The sequence below is a fragment of the Homo sapiens genome, chromosome 8 (genome assembly GCF_000001405.40).
Source record: "Homo sapiens chromosome 8, GRCh38.p14 Primary Assembly".
Lineage (NCBI taxonomy): Eukaryota > Metazoa > Chordata > Mammalia > Primates > Hominidae > Homo > Homo sapiens.
This window is the reverse complement of record NC_000008.11, coordinates 113,427,920-113,455,037: the sequence shown is the minus strand read 5'-3', so window position 1 is coordinate 113,455,037 and position 27,118 is coordinate 113,427,920. Positions and strand designations below refer to the sequence as shown.

The 27,118-nt window shown below is 38.4% G+C and overlaps 1 protein-coding gene and 1 long non-coding RNA gene across 9 annotated transcripts in view, besides 7 other annotated features; one reads left to right on the top strand and one right to left on the bottom strand.

Moving 5' to 3' along the window:
• Positions 16,665-17,165: an enhancer, noted in NCBI's record as "H3K4me1 hESC enhancer chr8:114450102-114450602 (GRCh37/hg19 assembly coordinates)". NCBI's record gives its function as "activates a minimal SCP1, AML or CMV promoter by ChIP-STARR-seq in naive H9 embryonic stem cells {active_cell/tissue: H9 hESC(naive)}" and the evidence as "EXISTENCE:reporter gene assay evidence [ECO:0000049][PMID:30033119]".
• Positions 17,178-17,227: an enhancer, noted in NCBI's record as "active region_27818". NCBI's record gives its function as "activates an Ori minimal core promoter by ATAC-STARR-seq in GM12878 lymphoblastoid cells {active_cell/tissue: GM12878}" and the evidence as "EXISTENCE:reporter gene assay evidence [ECO:0000049][PMID:35858748]".
• CSMD3 (CUB and Sushi multiple domains 3) overlaps positions 18,099-27,118 on the top strand; it is a 1,214,012-nt gene continuing 1,204,992 nt past the window's right edge. For all 8 annotated transcript variants that reach the window (NM_001363185.1, XM_017013010.2, NM_052900.3 and 5 more), the window contains exon 1: positions 18,099-18,361. In NM_001363185.1, the coding sequence (NP_001350114.1) occupies positions 18,184-18,361 (178 nt within the window). In that variant the 5' untranslated portion in view covers positions 18,099-18,183. The remainder of the gene's footprint in view (positions 18,362-27,118) is intronic.
• Positions 19,005-19,515: an enhancer, noted in NCBI's record as "NANOG hESC enhancer chr8:114447752-114448262 (GRCh37/hg19 assembly coordinates)". NCBI's record gives its function as "activates a minimal SCP1, AML or CMV promoter by ChIP-STARR-seq in primed H9 embryonic stem cells {active_cell/tissue: H9 hESC(primed)}" and the evidence as "EXISTENCE:reporter gene assay evidence [ECO:0000049][PMID:30033119]".
• Positions 21,445-21,948: an enhancer, noted in NCBI's record as "H3K4me1 hESC enhancer chr8:114445319-114445822 (GRCh37/hg19 assembly coordinates)". NCBI's record gives its function as "activates a minimal SCP1, AML or CMV promoter by ChIP-STARR-seq in naive H9 embryonic stem cells {active_cell/tissue: H9 hESC(naive)}" and the evidence as "EXISTENCE:reporter gene assay evidence [ECO:0000049][PMID:30033119]".
• Positions 21,445-22,958: a biological region, named in NCBI's record as "BRD4-independent group 4 enhancer GRCh37_chr8:114444309-114445508".
• Positions 21,759-22,958: an enhancer, noted in NCBI's record as "BRD4-independent group 4 enhancer chr8:114444309-114445508 (GRCh37/hg19 assembly coordinates)". NCBI's record gives its function as "activates an origin of replication core promoter dependent on BRD2, P300/CBP, MED14 and CDK7 cofactors, and independent of BRD4, by STARR-seq in HCT116 cells {active_cell/tissue: HCT116}" and the evidence as "EXISTENCE:reporter gene assay evidence [ECO:0000049][PMID:35650434]".
• LOC105375709 (uncharacterized) lies at positions 21,908-22,851 on the bottom strand. Its single transcript, XR_928544.3, has 2 exons — positions 22,612-22,851; positions 21,908-22,497 (listed from the first exon to the last, which is right to left on the bottom strand). It is a non-coding gene; the product is annotated as an uncharacterized LOC105375709 (long non-coding RNA).
• Positions 21,949-22,452: an enhancer, noted in NCBI's record as "H3K4me1 hESC enhancer chr8:114444815-114445318 (GRCh37/hg19 assembly coordinates)". NCBI's record gives its function as "activates a minimal SCP1, AML or CMV promoter by ChIP-STARR-seq in naive H9 embryonic stem cells {active_cell/tissue: H9 hESC(naive)}" and the evidence as "EXISTENCE:reporter gene assay evidence [ECO:0000049][PMID:30033119]".

Genomic DNA, 27,118 nt, shown 5'->3' with positions numbered 1-27,118 from the left:
GTAGATCTGCCAGCAAACAAATAGCTTGAATAAATGAGAAGTGATCATCTGCCAGAAAAGTGTGAATTAGCAAAATGATAAAAATCACCTAAGTGGCCACAAATTTAATACTAGCAATCAATTTTGTATTCATTTAATACAGAGAAACACATACACAAAAAGTATATGAATGTGCACGCCTATGTTCACTGCAGCATTATTCACAACAATCAGCATATGGAAACAAATGAAGTCCTCATCAACACATCATGATTTAAAAATACATGGTGTGTGTGTGTGTATATATATATGGATACTGTTCATCCTTTAAAAAGAAGGAAATTCTGTCCTTGGCAACAACATGGATGAATCTGCAGGACATCATGCTAAATGAAATAAGCCAAGCACAGGAAGATACTGCATGATTTCACTTATATGTGGAATCTAAAAAAGTTGAACTCATACAAATAAAGACTAGAATGGTGATTGCCACAGGCTGGTGGAAACAGGGAGAAATTGGGGGGCTGGGTAGAAAAAGGGGAGATGTTGGTCAAAGAGTACAAAGTTTCAGTGAGACTGGAAGAATAGGTTCTGGTGAGTGATTGCACAGTGTAATTAATAAGAATGTGTCATATATTTCAAAATTGCTGAAAGATTAAATTTTAAATGTTCTCACCACAAAGGCATGGTAACTATGTGAAGTGATGGACATGTTAAGTACCCCAATTTAATTATTCTACATGTACACATGTATTGGAACGTCATATTGTACCCCTTAATATATACAATTACTATTTGTCAATTAAAAATAACTTTTAAAAGTCATTTTTAAGCCGGGCGTGGTGGCTCATGCCTGTAATTCCAGCACTTTGGGAGGCTGAGGTGGGTGGATCACATGAGGTCAGGAGTTCAAGGCCAGCCTGACCAACATGGAGAAACCTTGTCTCTACTAACAATACAAAACATTAGCCGGGCATGGTGGCATATGCCTGTAATCCCAGCTACTTGGGAGGCTGAGGCAGGAGAATCACTTGAACCCAGTAGGCTGAGGTTGCAGTGAGCCAAGATCCCGCCATTGCACTCTAGCCTGGGCAACAAGAGTGAAACTCTGTTCCCCCGCAACGAAAAAAGTCATTTTTAATGAATAAACCATGAAACATTGTATTTGTTTTGCTTCCAAAGGCTTTCTGAACATGCATCTATGAAAAAAAAGTTTTATGAACCTTATAAGAAATTATTTAAGATGATAAAATATTAAAGAAAGAAAAGCATAATTCTCCAGTTGGAGTGGTAGGAAGCAGTGATGGCTAGGGAATGAGGTTTGCACAGTAGAGACAGGACTGAGTGATTCTTCTCCTCCCTATCCACAGGCACTTATGCCACCATGCTCTCAGACCATCTAGCTACCTCCCTTATCACTAGATTTACCTGGGTAGGAGCTTGTGAGATTAGAAGCTGGAGGATGTATACCTTATTAGTTAGGGTTGTCCAGTTAGGGTTGACCAATAGGTCAAAAGTATATATAAAAGGGAGTTTATCAGGGAGAATTGGCTCACAAGATTACAAGGTGAAGTCCCACGATAGGCCGTCTGTAAGCTCGAAAAAGAGAAGCTAGCAGCTTGGCTCAGTCCAAGTCCAAAAGCCTCAAAACCAAGGAAGCCAAGAGTGCAGCCCTCAGTCTGAGGCCAAAGGCCAAAGACCCCCTGGGAGGCTGCTGGTGCAAGTCCCAGAGCCAAACAGCCAAAGAATCTGGAGTCTGATGTCCAATGGCAGGAAGGGAGAAGCAAGCCTCTGGCAGGGGAAGAGGGAGAGCAAGAAAGAATTCAACAAGGTGCTTATTCCCCTTCTTCTGCCTGCTTTGTTTTAGCCATGCTGGCTGCAGATTGGATGGTGCCCACCCTCATTGAGGATGGGTCTTCCTCTCCCAATTCACTGATGAAAATATCAATCTCCTCTGTCAACATTGTCACAGACACATCCAGAAACAATACTTTACCAGTCATCTAGGCATCTCTCGGTCCAATCAAGTTGACACCTAATATTAACCATCACACATATCCATACCAACAGAGGGTGACTTTATGGTGGCAAAGGGAATAGAAACTCTGGGTTAAGTTTGCAATAGTGTGGTCAAAAATACTTAACTATGAGATTGGTATTGGATGGTGGAGCTGATATCCAATATTGAGCAAAATTGGTCTTATCTATAGAGAGAGGAAAACTGCTTCTCTGAGGCCCAGGTTTTCCTCATGTGTTCAATACCACTGGGGACTATCTAACTTAAAAATGGTTTCCAAAATCAGTAGGAGGAGTTGTACACTCAAGCAGAGAACTGTTAGACATTTTTTTTGGTTTGTTTTGTTTTTGCCAAACTGATCCAATAGACATCATGGGACTGTTACTACTTTGGGGGGTAACAGAAGTCAACTCTGGTTAGTACATGCAAAACAGGAATTCATTAGAGGGATTTAGAGATCTAGCATCACTCACAATTTTTTTTTTTTTCTTTTTTTTTTTTTTTTTTAATTTTTTTTTTTTATTATACTCTAAGTTTTAGGGTACATGTGCACATTGTGCAGGTTAGTTACATATGTATACATGTGCCATGCTGGTGCGCTGCACCCACTAACGTGTCATCTAGCATTAGGTATATCTCCCAATGCTATCCCTCCCCCCTCCCCCGACCCCACCACAGTCCCCAGAGTGTGATATTCCCCTTCCTGTGTCCATGTGATCTCACTGTTCAATTCCCACCTATGAGTGAGAATATGCGGTGTTTGGTTTTTTGTTCTTGCAATAGTTTACTGAGAATGATGGTTCCCAATTTCATCCATGTCCCTACAAAGGACATGAACTCATCATTTTTTATGGCTGCATAGTATTCCATGGTGTATATGTGCCACATTTTCTTAATCCAGTCTATCATTGTTGGACATAAAGCAATGGCAACAAAAGCCAAAATTGACAAATGGGATCTAATTAAACTAAAGAGCTTCTGCACAGCAAAAGAAACTACCATCAGAGTGAACAGGCAACCTACAACATGGGAGAAAATTTTCGCAACCTACTCATCTGACAAAGGGCTAATATCCAGAATCTACAATGAACTCAAACAAATTTACAACAAAAAAACAAACAACCCCATCAAAAAGTGGGCGAAGGACATGAACAGACACTTCTCAAAAGAAGACATTTATGCAGCCAAAAAACACATGAAGAAATGCTCATCATCACTGGCCATCAGAGAAATGCAAATCAAAACCACTATGAGATATCATCTCACACCAGTTAGAATGGCAATCATTAAAAAGTCAGGAAACAACAGGTGCTGGAGAGGATGTGGAGAAATAGGAACACTTTTACACTGTTGGTGGGACTGTAAACTAGTTCAACCATTGTGGAAGTCAGTGTGGCGATTCCTCAGGGATCTAGAACTAGAAATACCATTTGACCCAGCCATCCCATTACTGGGTATATACCCAAAGGACTATAAATCATGCTGCTATAAAGACACATGCACACGTATGTTTATTGCGGCACTATTCACAATAGCAAAGACTTGGAATCACAATTTTTTTTAAGTTGAAAAATGTAGACTTGGAAAAGTGAGGAACCAGATCAAACTAAAAGATCCATGTAATAGGAAGTAGTTCACATTATTATTTGGTTTATATAACTATGGTAAATCAGCTCTTATCAATTTTCAGTCTTTGTGACACTCTGTTCAAGATTCAAAGTATCTAAAGTAAATTCACAAATGGACAAAATAAATGAATGAATGAACACAATAAACAAAAGTAAACCATGTGCCCATGAATTCCCATGTAGCGATATTCCTAAATCTTGACACACAGCCCTATGAAGACCATAAACAATAGGATGCAATAAGAACTAGAAAGGAAATCAAGGCGTGCTAACCAGAAAAAGGAAAAGCTAAGATTATGTTGTAAAAATGCACAAAAAGTCTGAAAAACAAAAACAAACAAAAAATGAAAACATTATTTTAAAAAAGTATCTCAAAAGCTAATAAGTGCAAATTAGTTAGCCAGGAGTCAAATGCAGTCAATGGCAGAGGAATTTCTGAATAATGCCTGATAATGTCATATGGAACCAGGGACAAAACGAAAGATAAACAAGTCAAAAAAACCCTAAACTATTTCTAAGAGTTGAGCTGCTATTGGAATTCAATTTTTTTGGCAACCAAAACACAAGAGTCCTATCAGAGTTCGATGATCTACTCTACAGAAATTTATGTTAATACATACCATTTAAATTATCAAAATTATTTTAACACAGGAAATATGTAACGCATTTTGGAGCAATTTCTATTCAAGATAATTATTTTGATTGATACATAAATAAGTATACTCTAAGATATTTGGAAAATTTTGTAGTTCCAGAAAAATGTTCCCGTTATGGTCTGACAAAAATATATTGTATTAGTGTCATGATACATACACAATTAAAAAGTTGCCATGTCAAAATTGCATACATAACCTATAAAAGTATTAATGATTGATAGAACTATCCAACTTTGCAACATTTAAATTTAATATTTACAATTCAGTGTACTTTTAGTATTCTGCATTCATTAGTTTTTCTAATATTTAATACACTGAAATATTTCCAACTGATGTGAATTCCAAAAGCTTTTCATTGCATACAACTCCTGAAATAAAAATAAAAACTGGTTTTCTTGCAAAGAAAATAGGAAATAAAAGTTTACAGATGCATTAAACATTTGGCTGTGCTATGTATATGAAGACTGACTGCCAATTTCAGGATTCTTTTTCATGCAAGTTATCTAAGTATAGCCAAATAATTGATTCAAACTTGTTTATTTGAACAGTAGATTAACTTACTTATCAACAATTTAACAGCACGCTCTTTCCCCTGCCCTTTCCTGTTCTAACTTACCCAGGGTCTCTGCATGTGTTGGCTGATTAGTATGATTTTCAGATATTATGACAGCATGTCAAGGATCCAATTTTATAATTTGTATTGAGAAAAAAATAAGCTTTTTAATCTATATGACACAGTTAATTATAACAGCAGGTAGGATTTTATTAGGTTTAATTTTTTTTATACCAGAACCAGAAATTTGCTTGGGTAGACCTGAAGGATGCCTCATGTCTTTCCAGAAAGATGGAAATTCATGTGTACTCTTTTAATTTCTACTATAAAGAAGAATATTAAAAATGTAGAGGCCTTGCTCCCATTTTTTTTTTATTAAATAGGCTTGGGATGTGGCCTGGGTGTCTGGTAATATGAGCTCATTAGGTCATTTTGATGGACAGCAAGTCTTAAAATTTCACTTATTCATGGCACAGCAAAATGTATTTCCTACTGCCAGAGAGAAAACCTTTCAACAATATTAGAATTTGAATAAAGCAAAATGTTGACCTTCCAGAAAATAGTGATACTGTTATAACGTCTCTCTCTAATATTTTGCAGAATGACCAGCAGGGATGTCAGCACACCGTAAATAGGAAGAATTTCAAAATGATTTCTACAGTATCAGAAAACCAGTTGTATTTTCCTGTGTATTTTTTTCATTACATGTTCTATCTTCTTAAATATTTTGAATAGAAACTTAACAGTTTTTATTGCCTTGACCAAGCCTCCTCATTTTTATTTATTTTTTTGCACTTAAGCAGGACATAGTGAACGTAATATGTCTTATCCATGCCAGATCAGACAAATGTCAGATTAAAGGAAAAGCCAGCTGCTCATCTCTGTACAAAGTAGCAAGTGAAAATAACCAACAACCATGACTTCTGTCAATACTAAACTAAATTTAGGTACAAGCAGCCCAAATGGCTGCCTTGGTTGCCCTGATTTCCATTGATTAAATGTGTTTAAGACCTTTAATTGATTAGGGTCAAATTAATTGAAAATAATTTCAAAACAAAACGAGAAAAAGTTGTTTTTATTGTGTATTCATGTTACCAGATATAAAAAATAATTTTTGCCTTCATTTACAATGGAATCTCCATAGTGATGGATTCAATTCTTTCCCGACAATTTTTCACTACAGAATTAATTTTTCATTCATTTAATAATGTATTAAATGTCTAATATTATGGAACATAGGACTGGCATGTGCAGTTTGGGAGATAAAAAAGATACTTTCTGCCCACTAGTACTTGAAATATTAATACAAAGACTAAAGAGACAAAAACGACAGTATGTTATGATAAATATTCTGAAAGGATTATGCACAAGTTCCTACAGAAACACAGAACAAGGTCATTTTTCTCAGACCAGAAAGGATAACAAATACACTTTGCAAAAGGAAGAAACAAAGTTACCTGAATTTGGGGTTGAAGCCTATTCTGGAATTTTCCAGGCACGGTGGAAGTAGAAGTGAAGGGACAAATGTCAGAAAAAGGAAGCAGCAGTACCTAATAGCAATACACAGATTTTTCCAATATGTTTCAAAGGAAGCGTAAAGACATTGGGCAATTTTAAGTAGGAGAGTAAAATGATCAGAATTATGTTTTATAGGGATCACTCCTGAGTAAAGAGTGCACTGAATTGGGCTGGAGATGTAGTGTTGAGGGTCTGCACAAAGTCAGTGTTAATGAGATTCTTAGAAGGACAATGATTTGGGAGACATTAAGAAAATGGAAGAAAAAGATGAGGGAAAGAGAAGAATCAGGTATAACTCAGATATGGGTTTCTGGCTTTGGCTCTTGGATAGGAAATTATGATTCAAAAGTCTTAGACTACCACTGTAAAATAATTAAGAAAATAAATGAAAGAAAACTGATAAAATACAAGGAGATATATTTGAAATACTATTGTTGTCACAATACGTAATCTTAAGAAGCTACTCCATTTGGCTACCCAAAACTGACCTTGGTTTTAGTTAAAAAATCAGTCTGGTCATCAGTAAAGCTAGGTTGACACTTAGCCAATATTAATAAACCGGAGTCTACTATGGTTTATTAATCTGAAAATCAGGGATGCATCCATTAAATAATATTAAGACTCCTATAGGTCTTCCTCATCCTCCATAAATGAATTATGAATAAGACAAAACCAAAAGCTGTTTAAGAGATAACAAGAATTAAAGAATTTGCAGCAGATGGTACCAGCTGTGCACATTTAATTCCAGCTCAAACAATCTGCCAAACAGTTAGACAGAACTGCTTTTGCATGTGAAATTGGAGTGTCTCAGAGCCAAGGAAGAAATCTGAGAGTAGTCTTTCTGGCATTAATTATCAAACCTTTTATTATAATTAATGTTAGTGGACACAAACCTTCTTTCTTCTCTCTGCTTTCTTTGCACTATGTACATTCTCTCTCTGTCTCTCTCTCTCAATCTCTTTCACTGTTTCTCTTTCTCTTTAACTCAAATAAGCATATACACACATATATAACATATACACAGCAATATTTGCATCAATTAAGTAAAGAATAAATTCAAATAATTAATTTGTTAAAATGCAGATTTCTAGGCATTCAGGCATTCAGCATATATACACTAAGTAAATACAGGTAGTATAAAAAGAGCTTACTATGAACATTTTGAAGATACATTTTTTAAATGGATTCTAAGATATTTCAGTCTATTTATAAATACATTAACCGTAAGTAACAAAGCAAGAGTAAAGCAAAGGAGTACAACTATTACAAGATAATCTTTTTTAAAGTATGCTTAAAGTCCATTGGAATGGACAAATACAGCAAACCTGGAAAAATTAGAGGTGAACCCAAAGTTGAAATAGGAAATTTGGATGGGCTAATGGAAGATATGCAAGTATTAAAGGTCAAGGGAACAATATTTAAAAGGGCTCTAATGCAGAAATGCAAATATAGTCAGGGCTTGCATTTATCATCATGGACTCACTAGATGGAGGAAACAACCATGAAGCTCTTAACTGTGAGATTTAAGTGCACACGTGTATCCTGAAGCTAAATGATATTGGGAAGCTATGAAGACTGGAGAAGATAGCCATGATGACATGACTACACATTGTGCTTCATAAAACGGAGCAGAAGCAGAAAGCCTGGAGACAGTCAAGGTAACCATGAGGTTTTTGCAATAGCACGTGCATGAAATAACTATTATCTGGGCTCAGATGATGACAGTAGAATAGATAGAAAAGGACGGTGGAGTCTTATACAAAGAGATATTCTTATATATTAGTGTTTGACTCTAATGCAAATATAAGGAAGAGAGAGGTATAAAAATTAGATTTTGACTCTGAGAAGTTGGAACAATAAGGGCAGTGATTACATAGAGGTCAATCAGAAGAAGCCAATTGAAGAAGGAAGGAGCATATGGATTTGAATGAATGCAACTTTGCTTCATTGAGTTTGAGATGTTAGAATGAGAACAAAATGTGCATGGCAAGACTCAAGGTAGGGCTTGATAATACTAGATCAGACAGAGATTTATGTAAAATTCATCCCAGAAGAGGATATAATCATAAGAATACATACACGTTTTTAAATAAAAGAATATTAGTGAAAATGTGTAAAGACCTCAAAATGCTCCTGTAAAGAATAATCCCATTCAGGGTGGAAATAGGAAAAATAATCCATTAGTGGGGGAGGAGAGAGCTATGAGAGATCCAGTTAAAATCCAGTAGTGACATTCGTAAGAGCAGTGTCCTTGGCAGTCTCAGGTACCATATTAATTTCCCAGGTATACCACAACAAATATCCAGAAATTGTGTGCCTTAAAACAACAGAAATTTATTTTCGCAGAGTTTGAAGTCAAGATGTTAGCAGGACTGATTCTTTCTGGAGGCTCTGGGGGCAAATTCACTTTATGCCCCTCTCCTAGTTTCTGGTGACTGCCAAAAATCTTTGGCATTCCTTGGCTTGTAAACCCATCATGTCAATTTCTGCTTCCTTTTTCATACCACCTTCTCTTCTGTTTCACTGTGTCTCAAGTCTCTCTTTGCCTTTTTTTACAAGGACACTTGCCATGGATTTAGGGTCCACCCTAAATTCAGGATGATCGAATCTCAACATCCTTAACATAGTTACATCTGCAAAGACTCTTTTAAAAAAATTAATTTTTAATTGACAAATAACTGTATGTATTTATAAGAAACAATGTGATATTTTGATACATGAGGAATGATAGAATCAGACTAATTTACATGGCTATCACCTCACAAACTTAGCACTTTTTTAGAACAAGGTGATATTCATGCGTTCCAGGTGTTAGGACTTAGAAATAGCTCATGAGGGGCCACTCTTCAAACTGCTAGAAGTACTATGAAAATGGTATGGAGTGTTAAGGTTATAAGATAATTTATAATCTCACACCTTTTTTAAAGGAGTAATAGAAACTCTGTGAGGAAATCAGTTATTCCCATTTTACAGATGAAAAAATTAAGGCTCAGGGAAGTCACGTCAATGTGACATGTGTATTGTCATACTGTTATTAAGATGTGACAGCTTTCTTACCCTAAAAACATTTTTGATCTCAGTATTTATGTTATTTTAAAAGTATCACTGCATGGTGACCCTGACCCAGAAAGGCATTTATTCTATTATATTTACTATGGAAAAGATGACTTTGTGTTCAGCCAATCTTACTTTTTCCTCATTCTCTTGTAACCATTAGGTGTGCAAGTTTTCTGATCAGGTATAGAGTTTTTTTGGGTTTTTTTGTTTGTTCGTTTTTTGTTTTGTTTTTTTTGAGACGGATTTTCACTCCATCTCCCAGGTTGGAGTGCAGTGGTGTGATCTCGGCTCACTGCAACCTCCGCCTCCCGGGTTCAATAAATTCTCCTGTCTCAGCCTTGAGAGTAGCTGGGACTACAGGCGCCTGCCACCACACCTGGCTACTTTTTGTATTTGTAGTAGAGAAGGGGTTTCGCCTTGTTGGTCAGGCTGGTCTTGAACTCCTGACCTCAGGTGATCCACCCGCCTCAGCCTCCCAAAGTGCTGAGATTACAGGTGTGAGCCACCACGCCCAGCATATAGTTTTTTGTTTGTTGTTGTTTGTTTTGTCATTACTCTTTGATTTTATTATATTGCACTTGTTTGTTTTGTGATTCAGAGAACGGAAAAGTTCATTGTGAAAAATGAGGATCAGGATTCTTTTGGTCTCAGGAGAGGCATACTTTAAAAAATTAGTCAAATTGAGTGATGACCACATGGTAATTGTTGGATAGTTTAACCTCCTTAGAGATGCTGTGTTAGCGTATCCACATAAAAATCTATGTCATGCATTGGATACCACTCTAGGATAATTCAAACCTACTCTACACAAATGAAATTTCCCAAAATTCAGATTGATATTCATATACCAGATAGGTAAATTCTGGATGCCTTTGTAAATATAGCATGTATTTATAGTGTCACTTTCAATAACTAGAGGAAAAACATTCTAAATATAACTATTGATATGTAATCACGTAATATATTTTTACTTATTAAATATCTTTATAATAAATGTCTGATGACTTCAATCAACTTGAAGGGTTTAATGGAATCTTTTTATAAACCACTGCATAAAAATTCCAAACAAATTGATTTGCTTATTCAATGAAAAAATTCATTGATTGAGTTTTTTAAAAATGTAATACTGAAGGTTTATGTGAATTGACCAATCATTATGGTCTATGTACTGAAAAAGAAAAAAGAAAAGAAAAGAAGGAAAGAAAGAAAAAAAAAGAAAGAAAGAAAGAAAGAAAGAAAGAAAGAAAGAAAGAAACAAACAAAGAAAGAAACAAAGAAAGAAACAAAGAAAGAGGGAAGGAAGGAAAGGGAAGTGGAGGGGAGGGGGTGGGAGCAGAGGAGGGGAGGGGAGGGGTGAGGAGGGGAGGGGAGGGGTGGGGAGGGGAGGGGAGGGGTGGGGAGGGGAGGGGAGGGAAGGGAAGGGAAGGGAAGGGAAGGGAAGGGAAGGGAAGGGAAGGGAAGGGAAGGGGATTGGCAAGGTCTGTCATTGTTTCCCAATCTCCACATCTCCCTGGCTGCTCTTAGCTTTCTAGCCTCATCTATCATTCTTTTTTAAAAGTATAACCGCCCAATTGACTAAATCTTAAATGTGTACATAGCTCTCCTAATTTTATTCACAATATTTCTAGAAAACAACCTTTTCTTCAAGATTTTTCCTGTTAAGCATTCTTAGATGATTCTACAATGACTCAAATGTTTATCATTTCCATGTAGTTTTCTCCAATTCCCTAGCTATAAATAATTTTCCACCATCTTGGTATTTTACAAGCATGTCTCAAAAAGTGGTTATACTTTACTGACATTCACTCTTGTTACTTGAGAATATATTCTATGCTTTCTATTACATTGAAAGTTTCTTGATGGTAGAGTAACATGTATTTCTTGTTTTTGTTTCCTTGCAACAGGAGCTCAAAATGATTTCTTAAATAAATGAAAGAATACTCAGATGAAAATAATACCTGCTACACAAATAGTAAAGATGAAATTGATCCCTGTCCAGATGGGACACATATTTGTACTTGCAATCCAAATTGGATTATGTGTAGCCAAACTAAAATCAGCTGCATTGATTTTCTTTCCTTTGGTGGCCAAAATGATCATTTTAAGTCAACGTCACTGTTATCGTCCTATCTGAAAAAAGGATGCTTATTTTGTTTGGCTTCCTGTGTTCTTATCCTAGGAAATATTTCAACATTTATTAATTTTAAGATAAATTTTAAAAAATGAAATAACAGTGATCATTTGGGAAGCTTAAAAATTAGATCAAATTATACAGTAATAAATATGAATAGTCAGTGCTTTTAACCAAGTACAATACACATGTATGTGAATAAAAATCTTTAAATTTGTGAAGCATCCAACCAAATTATTTTCAATGGTTCCTTTCATTCAAGAGTTTGTAAACATTTAGGAAAATTAACATCACAATTAAAAGTTACAAAAAGTTAGTGAATTCTGCTTTATCACCAGCAAAGCAGTCTACTATGAGTGAAAGGAGATTGCAAGCACAGGTGAAATGTTCTTGCCTTCTACCTGTGGGCTGTGTTTTGCTATGTTGGGGCTCTGGGATTATGATCAAATATAATTTAAGAACTAAGCTTGCATGTTTCTAGAATTGACTTTCAGTTGTAAATTGTTTATTGCAGATATTTAGATTTCTCAGTTAACAAAATTACAAAAAACTGATTCTTAAGTGGATAAATGAAACAAAATAGAAAGAAGGTCCTACACATACTACCTAATTTAGAATGGACTAAAAATCTACAGAATAAAAAGTATTAATGGTTTTATTGTGCATATTTAAAAATATGCATTTATCTAAAAAATTTTTCATTAATTTTAAAGATTAGCAGAGAATATGTAGATAATAAAGACAGTACCAAATTGTTAAAAGATAATAATGAACTAATTGGATGGATATGAATAACCTCTGGATATGAAATCAAATATATACTACATTTTGATAATAATCTTGATATATTTTATATCTTATAAAATCAACATTTTTGATTTATATTCTCTAAGTATTCATGGGGTTTGTTTTGTTTTGTTTTGTTTTGAGACGGGATCTCACTCTGTTGCTCAGATCTCGGCTCACCACCACATCTGCCTCCAGGTTCAAGCGATTCTCCTGCCTCAGCCTCCAGAGTAGCTGGGATTTCAAGTGTGTGCCACCACACCGGGTAATTTTCGTATTTTTAGTATAGATGGGGTTTCACCGTGTTGGCCAGGCTAGTCTTGAATTCCTGACCTCAGGTGATCTGCCTGCCTCGGCCTCCCAATGTATTGGGATTACAGGCGTGAGCCACTGCACTTGGCTATTTATGTATTCTTAAGGACATTTGAAACTGATACTACATAACTATACAGTGTATGTGAGTTTAAAGAATGATGAAAAAAAGATCTGCTATACCAGGAATTGAGGTTTATTCAGATAATGTCAATGACACAACTTTATTACTGATGAAACACAGAGACCCGAATTATCTTGATTATTTAGCAAAGCTACCTTTTGCTTAACTCTTTATTTTTGTTCTTCTATGCAAAGACAGGTTACTTAATATCAGTCCCAGGTGAGCAAGAGAGTGAAACACACTCAAGACAAACAGAGAAATCTTTAAAGAATCTCTCTATTCTTCTTATCTGCTCTCTTTCAGGGTAATTACCCAAATGCCCCCCAATTATTTACCATGATTCCCTCCTTTCAGGAAACAGAGCTCATATATGGTTCATCTTAAACTATTTAATATATGTAATTTTAAATTTTCCATGTTTAAGAATGAAGCAGTTGAGAAAATTTGAAAGTGGGCAAAATTATTATATTTGTGGCTCACATAAAAATAAGTGTTTTTTGTAGTCAGTTAATACAGTTCGTCTGTATGGATAGAGCAATAGATTCTGTGTCCAGTTTTAAGGCTTTTCTGTTCTCTTGTAATACAACGTTACTACCTTTATTTGACATATAAACTTCAGTCTGATGTTCTTAATGTTGTTATAAGCTTAAAAACATTGAAATGCCTGTTAAGCTTCAGTATTAATGAAATTGCAAGAGGAGTCAGGACATAAGAAAAATGAATTCCTAGGAAAGCACACTTAGGACTCTTCCAACAGGCCTGTCTCCACCTCTCTACAATGGTTCCTGATTTACAACAGGAAGGACAGATCCTTCTATCGGCTTGATAATTTATCTTCTTAAATATTGCTGTTTTAAAGAAAATTACTTTAACATGAATACTAGGTCTCTTACTTTCCTTTTTCCTCAACAAATAAGGACATTTATAAATCAAGGTAATGCATATACTTAAATTAGAATCCCCTCATTATTCTAGATTCAACATTTAAATTCAAATATTTTATTTCGCAGGAGTTGGAGAGATCAGACATGACAGATCCAAGAATGAGCATTTATTGAAAAATGAGAAAAATGAATTCCTCTTTTCCCCCTACTCTCCTGGCAGTGAATTATATGTAAAAACTGCAAATGAGCAGGAAAATGTCTGCTTGGTTATTTGTAATCATTAACATTTTATCTTACTCTAACTAGTTTTTTCCCACAGACCCACAGATTTGATTTTCAGCCTTTTAATTAAATACATGTGAGAATGTGTGTGTGTGTGTGTGTGTGTGTGTCTGTGTGTCTGTGTGTGTGTCTACAGTCAATGAACATTTAGTTTTAATAGGCAGGAACATTTCTATAAAAAAATTACTTCACTTGAGCAAGAATCCCCATGTAAACCTTTATATCCATTATATAAATTAAAAAAAAACACTAAGTTTATAGCTGTCAAAAGTATATGCTTCTTTCCAAAGTTAAAGGTAACGCACTTCCCACATTTTTGTGTTGTGTTTTCTCAGTGTACTCATTTTGTTTTGATTATTTTGTTCATTTATCTTTGATATTGCTCCTGTGGTGACAAAACATAGTAAATACATGTTGAAGGGGCTAGTCTAATACTGGGCAATTTTTGGAGAGGGGCTTATTTTATCTTTTTTAGTGCAATTCAGCCCTGTTTTAAGATCAAAGTTAATTGTATTCCATAGGTATTTGGGGAAGGAACTGGAAAGGAATGGAAATCTAGTACTTCTAGTTTAAAGAGCTTGTGCATTTCTGATTTAACCTCTTTTTAAAAGCTCTTAAGGGTACTTAATCATTGTGTCTTGATGATCCTTGCCAAGTCACGTTTTACCACGACCTATATGTAGGAAGATCAATAGGCTGCAAGAAGTAAATAAAAATTTTTAAAAAGAGGAGGAATTTTCGTAACTGATAAGTATAAAAAGGACAAAAGTTTTTTATTTATATGTGTACATATATATTCTAAAATTTTATCACTTATAAACTATAAATTATTGCTTTTCTATAATTATGTATCATGTGTACTGTAAAAATGATTCATTCTTTTTGTTACTAGACTATTTCAAAACAAGCATCTGTAGGAGCTAGCATAAAATATAGGACATTAGGGAAGCATATTAACTCTGAAATCAGGTGCCATAGGTTCATACTTCTTACATGTGTTACTTCAGGCAAGGCAAGACAGTTAACTTCTATGTGTATCAATTTTTTTTTCATCTGTAAAACTAGGATAGTTGTTATGCTTGTCTCAGAAAGCTGTAGAGCTTGTCTCAGAAAGTAGTGAGGATTGAATAATATATCTTATGTAAACATAGCACAATGCCTAATGTACAATAAGCACCTGAAGTTTGCTATTATGTTAGCTATTTTTCCATAATCTCTTTCTAATAGTCTCACACAAATGAATGTATAGCTGTGTTGCTTTCCTACAGATTAGCAACAAGAGATAATTTCTTTCTCCCAAATGTAGACACTATGTTCCCTCCCCCGCCCCCACCCCTTCTGGAGAAACTAAAGGATTCTCACCCAGGATTGTGGCTGAAAATTTTGTGTTTCTGGAATACCTTTGGAAATCTTTCCTTAAAGAGGATACTGTTCATCAAGAAAGACTAGTGAGATCTAGCCCTAAACACATTGGACTAAACACCAAAGTTCCTGATAGTGACTTTGGATAAACCTCTTTAGCTCCTCATGCCTTAACTTTTTCCGTCTGTGAAATATTATTTTCCATCCTGTCTCAGAAGCTGGAAGACACAGGTGAAAATGGTTTGTGATTTATTGTGAGCTGTAGAAACTAGATATTATAGTATTGTTCAATATATTATGAGATTCCAGATAAATCTTTTAACAATCTCACATGAAATGATAGGCAGGATTCATTTAGGGAAAGATAATTGGATTACAGGATTAGCCATGTGTTTGAAAATAAATATCAGAAATTGGTATCTTACTAGTAATCTTTATGGTCTTTTAATCAAAATTTACTTACTTTGTGCACAATAATTACTGTTAAAATACCCTGTCTTTTGAGAAAGGGTTTTTTGCGGGGGGGTTTGTTTGTTTGCTTTTTTGGCATGAAGTCCTCCTGTCTGGATGTATAGCCATGTGTTATGTGTTCAAATAGATTGCATAAAACCCAATATTTTTGTTTCTTTTAATAAGAAGTAAATTCAGTTGAGGTGACTAACCTCTGCACACTTGGTAAGGAGGATTTTTGCTGAGCATCCTCATTAAGTCCAAGGGCCTGTTTACATCTCTAACTGGTTGTCCAGCCCAGCAAAGGCAACAGCAGCAACACCACACGCTGACATCTTGACTGAAATCAATGCCAGAGCAGCTGCCAAGGTGGCTTAGCAGGCTAATGTCGTTTTCCATGTTGATCCTCCCAGTCTCTGTCTAGTCCCTACCTTGTTGCCCACTCCCCTTCGAAACCTGCATATGCAGACAATGAAAGAGAGCACTGAAAAGAAGGGACAATGTTCTGCCTGAGGGCTCTTAAAGTATCTCTCTGAATTTAATGAGGTCAGCTGGGCGTCTACAGCTTTTACCTTTTGCTACAGCTCCCTACCCAGGACAGAAATCCCTCTCTAACACACAAACACACACAGGCGTGCACACGCATATGTACTGCAAAAATACACTTGGGAAAACACCTACGCATGGCAAATCACTCTTTGTATCTTTCATAAACACGCACACTTACCTCTCACTACAGCGCGTTTATGCTCTCGCGCGCGCAGACACACACACACACACACACACACACACACGAACTGGGAGAATCACAGGCCCACACACAATGCCACGTACCCCGAGAGATCAGAAGCCTTCCTACGCCTGCAGATTGAACTCACTCGCCACTCAAACCTATGGACACTCGCAGTGTGCCCACTTCCCAGAGCGGAACTCCTTCCAGATTCTAACGCCTTCCTCTGCTGAGCGGGCAGCTCCAACGCGAGCCAAGGGACAAAGCTGGCCAGGGTAATGCTGTGGTGCACGGGACCAAACCCATTATTTGTGCACAGTGCAGGGAGCTGCAAACTCAAGTTGGGCAGTCCTCTAGACTAAGCCTTGTTGATAGACGCTCACGCCCATGATAGCCTGAGGCAGTTAAATGGAGCCACACGCAACAGCAATATCCTGTTTCAGAACTAGCGCTGTGGCACTCCCCACTGCTGAGAGGGGACCAGATTCCCGAAAAGGTCAGATCACCAATCAGTTGCCTAATCTAAGGAACTTGTTCATTGAAAGATTTGGGCCAGGACCGTGGTCGAAAAAAATCAAGGAGCACGACATACTGGTCCCGGGGACACAGCTCCCCTGACACCAAGGGATGGCAAAAACAGGGTCCCTTATACATGCGAAGGAAGAACGGGCGGCTCGGAGACGGCCAGTAGATGGCGCAAGAACTCTTCCCTTGTGCAATCTTAACCCTTGCGTGGTGCATGGGGGAAGCAGATCCAGATGTATAGATACATACATTTTTCGTTTTGAAAGAAACCTCCTATTTACATATTTGGTACCGATTCAGAATTAAGACAAATGGGTTTGTTCTAGATAACTACCACAGATAAAGTAGTTTAACTGCGGCACACACAAACTGAAAAGGGGGTTGGGAGGATGAAAGGGAGAACTATTTGAGGAAACGACATTGACTTCCCTCCCCACCCCACCCCCGCCCAGGCCACGGATGAAATCCGTTTCCCGAATCATAAAAACCCGGTGAAGGGTTTACACGTAGTTATTTGAGTATGTAAATACATGTGTTCAAATACATTCTTTTCCGTGTGAAGGCAGAATTTATTGAGAAAATTCTCTGTGATTTCCTTTTTCAATTAAATCACAGGATAATAAATGGGAGAAGCCTGCCTGAAATATACTGCAACTACAGTAGTAACACATGTCCCATTATAACGACGTGGGCATCGATGGAGCCCGATTCATTATCGTCACGGTTTCCCCAAAAGCAACACAGATCCTCCGATTAAAATATTCCTTTGACATGCTTCTGTATTCGCAGCCTGCAACGGAGAGCTCACTAACATTATTTCTTGGGCTGCTTTTACAGGCAGAATTGATCTATTCGGGGAAAAAAAGCAAGCCCCTTAATTTCAAATATTGTGTGGAGTTTATCAGAGAGCAGAGGTGGGCTTTAAGAGGCTCACTAGTGGTTTCTGGTGGTTGCTATAACGAGCCAGAATTGGGGTAGATTTTGGTGGAGGGGAAAAAACGCACAAGAAAAGACAGAATCCAGAGTAGCGGAGACTTTGTGCCCCCGTTGGAGAGATGGTTGAGTCCTCGTCAAGGTTGCTGTGGTATCCCAGAAACACCATTCACTCCGAGCTGTGACCGCGCACCAACAACAGCAACAACTCCACTGCGCCGGGCTGAGGAGCAGGAATTAGGAGCTCGCGAATAATATGAAAGGGATCCGCAAAGGGGAAAGCCGAGCAAAGGAATCCAAACCCTGGGAGCCTGGCAAGCGAAGATGCGCTAAATGTGGCCGCCTAGACTTCATCCTGATGAAGAAAATGGGGATTAAAAGTGGATTTACGTTTTGGAACCTCGTCTTTTTATTGACGGTGTCTTGTGTGAAAGGTAGGTCTGCTTTGGGGGTCCCCTCCGCTTTGGATGGAGGTGGGCTGACTTGTAGATGGAGAGAGGCTGGCAGCTTACTTTGCAATTTGCACCGATAAAATAATCTGATAATACTAAAGGAGTTGATTCACAGCTCGTTCTCCCCCCCTCAGATAGGAAATGCATTTTGCTTGCCAGATTTGGCGTTCAATGCGGTGATTGAGCTTGTGCTCAATAAATATTCTTGCAGTATGCTCAAACGAATACGTGAGTTGGTTAGTATAGCCTCTAACTAGTGGATATCCAGGCAGAATTCCTCTGCAAGACTTTTCTTAGTGGTGAGGATTACCTTGATTTCTTGTCAGATCACTAGGGCTTGAGGCTTTGGGTGGAATATATATATTAAAGACGCTGGTCTAAATGCTTTTTAACCCTTTCAGGGAAGAAAGTTATCGACGTGCTAGGAATGTGTTGATTTTAAATGCATTAGGGCACAGGGATCTTCCAAGCACTGCCACATCAACATGAATGTCTGCATGCATATGTATGTAAATTGGGCTTCTATGCAATGTTAAATGTAGGGGAGCTTCCCTAGGACCTGTGGTAGAGGTTTGGCAAAAAATGAGGCTTTCGAAGGGTCTGAAATGCCATGAAGTGTAAAGAACCACCTTAAGGGATGAATGAGGTAGGAGGAAAGTCATTAGCTGACGACCAAAAGAAAATCCCCAGCAAGTCTCAGCGTTCAGACAGGTAGAGTGAGTGTCACATGCACAGATAGGGGAGGGGGTAGGTGGGATGTAAAAATGTATTCCCAAGCAGGAAGGCAAGGGACAGTCAGGATCATGGGAAAAAGAGCTGTCCTTAGGGAGAAAATAGATCCATAGCTCTCTTCCACAACTTCTCCGGCACCCTGCTGCCCATTAATTGCTGCAAAGAATACTCAGGAGGTGTTTATGACTCATGCCATCATTTTTTGAACAATCACCTCTCCATACTCATGGCAGCTCGAATAGACGCTATGGATGCCGCTTTCAGTGAAGCTAGTTTCAAATCCCGGGTGTCTGTGTGTCGCGGGGGGGCGGGGGATCGCGGGAAAGGGGGTGCTGTTTTGGCCCAGGCGCGCCAGGGCTGTCAACACAAACTGGACGCTTCTTCCTTTGTAAAGGAGTGCCTCTCTGAACTGCAATCGGGCCGCGTCTCTATGAAACAGTTTATTGTCCAGCTTGCAGCTGGCTGTCCCCCCACGGAAGGCAGCTCATTTGCATTCAGTGGAAATGATAATTCATGTTTTGGGAGGAGGGAGCTGGAGAGGTTACCTTTCCCTCTACTATAACCAATGATGGGTGGCATGTCTAGAATTTTAATTTACATCCCAAAATGCCAGGAAGTCAGTCGCCCCGGTCTCTGTGGCAGCAACTGCCTTGTAATCCCAACCTGCTCCTTGAAGCTTGATTTTTCTTTTCTCTCTGGGGCCTCAGAGCAGCTCTGAGCCGAAAAGCTTGTCCTAAGTGGCACAACTACACTGCCAAATGTACAAAGCACGGCTCAGGTTGCTTACAAGGTTTCTTTGTCGCTGGCTCGACGGGTGAGGAGCCACACATTTATGCTTAGTTCGCCTGCCACTGGGAGTTGGTGGTTAATGGATGGCCCTGGGGCTGCCTGCTAGACGCGCGCTTCGCGTGGGGGAGGCGCGAATAGCCAGCAGCAGCCCTGGCAGAAAAATGTAAGGGTGGCTCCTGTGAGAAGATGACCAGGGTTTAAGTGCGAGTTTTCATGTGATACCTGTTGAGCCAAAACACATTCGGGGGCAGATGAGGGGGAGGGAAGTCTCCGAAGCGGGGCGAGCATTACAGCCTGACTAACGCTGATCCGCGCCGCCTGCAATTAGAGCCCCGGCTGCCCGCACCTACCGTATTTTCCGAATGAGATGCGCCGATAGAAAGGAAAGGCGCGTTAATTTACTTTGGACTGATATAATCGGTTTAGCTTTGGAGATATTGAGAAGGAAGAGTATGTCATAGCCTTCTTTGATCCTGTGCAAAATCAATATTCTACAGACTATACGTAAAAAACATTTTTTTTCAATGTCAATAAAGTTATTGTCACTCATCGGGCACTTGGAAGGCATCTCCTACATTTTACGACTTGGAATACTGTCCCCAAATTCTGAGAAATTTGCATAGGTTTTATGTTTTAGACCTGCTGTCAATCTCCGAATGATGCCAATTTTGATAGTTGCTTTTTACTCTCCCTTTCCTCATTTTATTTTAATTTCACCTGTCTCAAGGCTTTCCTAAAGCCAAGATTGATGCAATGCCTTAAACATTGTTTGCCCCAATGTCTATGCTCGCTTTTGTCTTCTACACTTTCTTCTGGAATGTGAGGTCCATGAAAAACCTCAGACTGGGGAGCCGTTGTAAGGATTTTGCAGGTTCTAATCTAGACTAGCGTGAGGGTCCAGGAAGTCCGAGGCAGGCAGTTTTCCACGTGAACAGCTCTAGCCACGAGAATTACACCATCTGCCTACAGTTTTCATCCCTCCACCATCTCACCTTTGCGTTCAACAGCAATGACAAAGAGGCTTAGTGGGAGGAAACGCCTCGGAGTGTAAGATAAAGTGGTCTTAGGTAGGCCTGAACCACTCGGGTGGGGCTGAAAAGGAAAACAACCTTTCCTTGGCATTTCATTTCCACTGTCATGTGAAATAAAAGGCTGTGGAGAGCACCAAACTGAGGCGTGGGACAGGGCAGGTGCTGCCTAGACTTGATCCATGCCTATTTCAAACTGAACTCCCCTCCCCCGCACCCCCCACACAGGTACACACGCACACACACACACAGGCAGAGGTTTCTGAAATGCCTCCAGCTGCAGCGTGTCTGTTTAGGTCTCACCCAGATAGAAACTGTGAATCTCCAAGTCGTGCTTAAGCGTCCCGCCCATGTAAAGAGACATCCATGGGATGTTTTCCCACGCTGCTTGTCAGTGGATCCCAGGGGAACACACACCGTGCAGCGAAGGTACCGCGAAGGCACAGATCTCTGGGTAGGCAGCAGGTGGGAGACCGGGTGCGGCGTCGCGCACCCCACGCCAGAGCGTCTTTCCAGGGATTCTCGCCAGAGCGACTTCGCGAAGGATCCACGTTTCTGCGTGCTCTGAGACTCCAAGGAGATACTACTCCTGCCACAGAGGTCTTTTGGAAAAGTGGAAATCGCATCCTCTCCCGCAGTTAGTTGCTACTGGAGAGGGGCGCGGGTGTCTTATGAGGGGGAAGAGCTGCCAGAGGCACTCATTAGCACCTTTTACAGACGCCCGCCCAGGTGGCCATGTCCGGAGCTTTCAGCCCCGCGTGTGTCCCGGGGACTGACACCCACAGTCCTCGCCCATAAGGCGACAGTCTTTCCCAACACATCAGGAAAATATCTGTCTCAGCTTGAGAGAGCTTTACAAAGGGGGCTGAGGGAAGGGAAATCAATGTCTTTTCAAAATAATAACAGCAAACAAAAACCCACCTAGACAAAACCATTATCAAAACCCTTCCCCCAACACTAGCAAGACTGAGAAACCCACTGAAAGGTAACCTTTGTATTTGAGTCAGGGCCCCCTCCTGCTGTAGTTTGGACAGGCGCCCCTCCCTTACATCTATTTCCTGTGGGAATACTCATTAATTTCTTCAAGAAGATCAGCCTCCCTGAATTTTCATGGACAACCCGAAGTTGAAACTGGGTGGCTGACTTGGCTGTTGATGTGCGTGTGTGCGTGTGTGCTGCTGGGAGGAGGACACATGAATTGACACGGAGAAACCTTTAGGAGTCTCCGAGGGTGGGTGTGAGTGTGTCCTAGGCGGAAACGCCTGGCGGGTAACAGCGCTTTAATGTTCCCAGGACTCCAGATGGCCAGTGGCGCTGCGACCACTGCTGTCACGATGAAGTAGAAGTGCGGAGGAAGCTCCCTTTCTCCAGGCGGACCGCAGCGCTGTCCTCACTCAAATAACTTATCTAAGACGCACTCGGGGAGTTCGGAAAGCACATTGGGGAAACAACGAGTGGGGATTGTGGCTCCTCTGCAACGTCCCCGTCCCCCAGATCCGTTCAACGACGACGGAAAGGCCAGCAGGAGGGCAGCCCCCGGCTCAAGTGCTGCAAGGGCTTAGTTAGACTCTGAGGGAGAGAGCAGAAGAAATTAAACAGCATAGTGCCATCTGAGTAGCCAAAGTGGTCTTCTCCCAGCCCCGCTGGAGTGACCAGCTAAGGGGCTGACACAGGGGCACGCACAGGGATTGCTGCGCATTGCAGAATAATAATGAAGGAGGACAACCAAAGGAAGAAAGATCGGCTCAGGCATGAGGCTGGTTCTCTTCTCCCTGAATGCGGTCTTGTCTTTGGGGAGGCTTTGCACCACCGAGTTGCTAAGTTAACCCAATTTACCGGACTGACAGGGCTTGAACGGTTACCAGAATTCGGAGCTGAACTTCACTGGACAGTTAGCTTGTTGAAAGCGCTCTGAAATGTCCTTTTGCAGCACCGTACTTTCCGGAATCATCTGGTTGGGGAGGAGGCGGGTGCTGCATCACGCCCTCATTGGAAGAGTATGTGAGCAGAAATAATTAAGGAGAAGGTTTCGGCATCTTGAAAACCTGATGCCAGCTCCCTTGAGATCCTTCAAGGAGAAAAAGAGTAGAATTACTCAATAAATTAAGTACTCCAGGAGCAAAGGCTTCGTTCCAGTAGTTATTACCCTTCATGATATTAATTAGCATTTCTATTTGTAGGGTAGCTGAATTAATTTGGAGTATACGCGTCTTTTCCCTAAACACAAAATTTGGTGTCTACAAAACAGTGAAATAACAAATAGACACCAAATGTCATCTGTGCATGATTCTAAGTACAGTAAAACTCTATCATAAGTGAAAGCTGATAAACAAAAAAAGTAGGAGAGGTGTGCAGTTAATAATGCCTTTGTACTCATGTGCGGAAAAAAAAAAACTCTGACCTTAAAACGCTTTTCTAAGATCTCAAATGCAAAAAAGTGGAGGGAACTAAAGTTTACTTCCTTAGCCTCCAAATATACTTCTTCATGTGTTCCAAAGGGTGTTTCTCTTCTACTTACTTATCAGGGGCTTCCGAAATGGCTTAAGGATATAAAATACCTTCAATATTTTGTCTATTTTAAAGCACCAAGCATACGCCTGGTAAGGCACCAGTACCTTTAGGCAACATGACCTTTTGAGAAAATACGCCATCTTGTACTTTGAATTCCAAGATTTGGGAAATTAGAAATAAAATGGTTGTAAATGACAGATTAAGAAAAAATGTGTAAGATACAAGTAAAATCTAAGAACACTTTAGTTTATTTACATGTACATTAAAACATAGCTTTAGCTATTTTTCCCTATCTCTTTCTTCTGTTCCCTTTACTCATCATCCAAAGGAGTATATAATTTAGAATACAGTGGAAATATTGATTTGGACTTTGGATGAGTATGAGAATGGTGCCATTACAGACACTGCGGTTGCCAAATTCATCTTTCTGCTCTCAGAGTGAGCAGGTGGGTGATTCACGGTATTTCCAGGTATACCTACCTCCATGCCTGCAAGGTTTTCTCAGAATTGGGCCCCTTGTGAGGCTCTTATTCTCTTCAGGGACATCGCTTTTAAAAGTATCACAGAGAAAAATCAATTTGTTGAAGACCTGCTGGTATTCACAGCCACAATGCTGATGATCACCTTTCCTTCTCTTAAGGCCCCAGACTTGCAGCCATCAAATATATTTCATGTCTTAAGTTGCTTTGCTAAGCTGTTGTTTGGTGCTGGTTAAGGAATCCTAATGATTAATATTTTCTATATAGTGATAATTCGTTGCCGGCAACCTAATTTGAAATCTTTAAAATGTCTAAATTTACATTAACATATGTATTATATACCTGTGCTTGGACGGAAAATAACAATGGTGATTATGTGGCATTAGATATCATCACATTATTCAGTTCAGGCCCTTAAATGTTTGGACTACAGTGATTTTCAAAGTGTTCTCCAACAAGTAGTACCAGCATCCTCTAAAAACTTTTTAGCAATAAAAATACCTCAGTTTCCCAGATAAGGTCTGTTGAATCAGATGCTTTGGGAGTTGGGCACAGACACTGATGGTTTAAACAAGTCATCCAGGTAAGTCCAGATTGCACTCTAAAATTTGAGCGACCCTACAGTAAAGTGGAAAGAGCAAGGGCTCTGGAGCCACTGAAGGTCAAATAATGATTTTTGGCAACAATTATCTTTGGACTAGCAATTCAACTTTCCTAAGCTTCAGTTTTATTATCTGTAAAAAAAAAAATACATGACAATATCGGGGGTTTATAGGGAGATGACATAAATTACGTACCTAGCCCAGTGCTTGGCACTAGTAGCTATTGCCAATATTATTCAAATAAACATGCACATGCAAAGCCTGTATGAACTCGCACTTTATCTCTAACACCACCACCTTCACTTTTCCATAGCAGTAAATAAAAAGTGTAGCCTCTTCTCACTAGCTATTATTTCACTTTGGCTAAGTTCCCAGGCCATTATACAGCTGAGAAACACTGTGAAACTGCTGCTTATCACTTTTACACATTCACTTCTGGTGCTGGCTATATGAATAAGGGGCAGACTCACAGCTAAAAAGAAAAAAATGCTACCTCTCCTCCTGTGCTGATTTCATCCCCTGCATTCTGATATTGATTTCTTTTAATAGGGATTGATTAATGTACTAACATGAATTTGTTCATTCATCTTGTCACAAATCATGACATTCATAGGTCCTTAAATATCAGCTAGTTCACTGCTCATGTATTTTACAATAAGCGCAAATGCCAAGAAAGGATAAGTAATTTTTGGTAGTTTTCAAAGACCATTAATTCCAGAACTCAGACTAGATGACAGGGCATTCAAGCTCATGTTCAATTCTTTTTCTACTTTACCTTATCAATTTTATTAGAAAGTTAGCTCAGATGGCACCAATGAAGATAGTCAATCAGAAAAATTAATATTTCAGTACTATATATCAATTAGTATTAGTAATTATATGCTTGTGGTAAAATTTTAAAAATGATAATTACTTATTTGGTAGAAGACAAAAGGAGATAATTATGGAGTGAAAAACTTTTCTGATATAATGTGTACTTCAAATAAACTAATTGTATCTTCAGTAAAGTTTATTTCTTGACATTACAAGTCTGTAAATAAAATCAGTGTGTTGACTTTTTCATGTCTCAAAAGAGCATTGAGGGGCAGTACTTAACATCAAATTTTTATTTATTTCTTATAATCTGTAGACAATTTCTTACTTAAAAGCTTTTAAATCTAGAGAAATGTTTCTTTTTTTCATGGGTTTTATTATGTTTAAGTCATATTTACATGAGATTTATGTATTCTCTCTAGTTACATTTTCATCTGCATATTTTTTCACATGATATATATATATAAGACAATTATTCAAAATTCTATAAGAAACAATAATACATTTTATAAATATTAATGGTATAAGAACATCCATACGTTATCAATTTTAGTGATAGTTGAAATGTTTTAAAGTCATTTTATGATATGGGAGTAAAATTTGCAAAGTTAAGAAATTCTACTCTTTGAGGAGTTGAAATGTTCAGAAAATGATTGAAATATATAAATAGTCATGAGTGATTCCCTTAAAAAGCTAAGTTCATAATGTTTAAGATTATGAAGATTTTCTTTGCTTGATGTTAGCAATTTTTAAAGGAATGTTAATGATCATGAGTTTAAAATAATAGGGAGGATTTTTTAACTATGACATTAAAAAATATGATTAAATACCACTTTGAGAGGAAGTTTGTAAATGGAAACAGACTCTATAAAAGTAGACTTATTTTATCCCAAATAACTAAAAAAGCAAGGGCTTTTGCCATAGTTTTCTGTTATACAAGTTTATCTGATTGACTCCAGAATGATCAGAGTTATTTACTATGTAGAGAGGATACGAGACATTCTTATGTTTTGGGAAATGGTACCGGGATAAAATTCTTTGTTGTGTCTTTTCATGTGTGATGCTTTATGATAAGCCCTTAACTAAAGTGTCCTTTACATCTCAAACAGTTCTTTTCTCCCTTTTCTTCCTGTATTGAATTCTAATAAGTATCTTTGAGATAGCTATTAACTCCTATATAGAGATTGTTATCTCCATTTTCGAGTAATACACATTTTTCTGAGTCCAGAGTTCAATGATTTGCCAGGATCATACAGTTAGCTAGTGGTTAAGTGAAATCTGAAAGGATAATAGATTCATAAGCCATAGACTTACCAAAATCTAAAAGAAAAATGTAAATGACTAAGTTACCAATTAAACCTCTTCATTTTTAAGAGAAACATTGAGGCCCTGAAAATTTAATTTAGAAGAAAGCTTAAGATCAATAGTCGTGATTAGACAGAAAGATAGATAGATAGATAGATAGATAGATAGATAGATAGATAGATAGATAGATAGATATCCCACAGTTGGAGTAACACATAACTTAATTGGTTTTGTAATTTTCAACATCTTTCACTTAACTTGACTAATTTTGTTCTCTAAATGGTCTGTACAATAGATATAAAAGATACTTTCTACTTTTATAAGCGATAGTAAGCAAAGTAAATGCACAGGTAATACATATGTTAAATATGACACTATAAAATATAAAACTAGCACATTAAGTAAGATAAAACAGAGGTAAACATTATAACCCTTAGCTCCTAATGGAGGCTCTTGAGTAAAATTTAAAATTTGTGAATG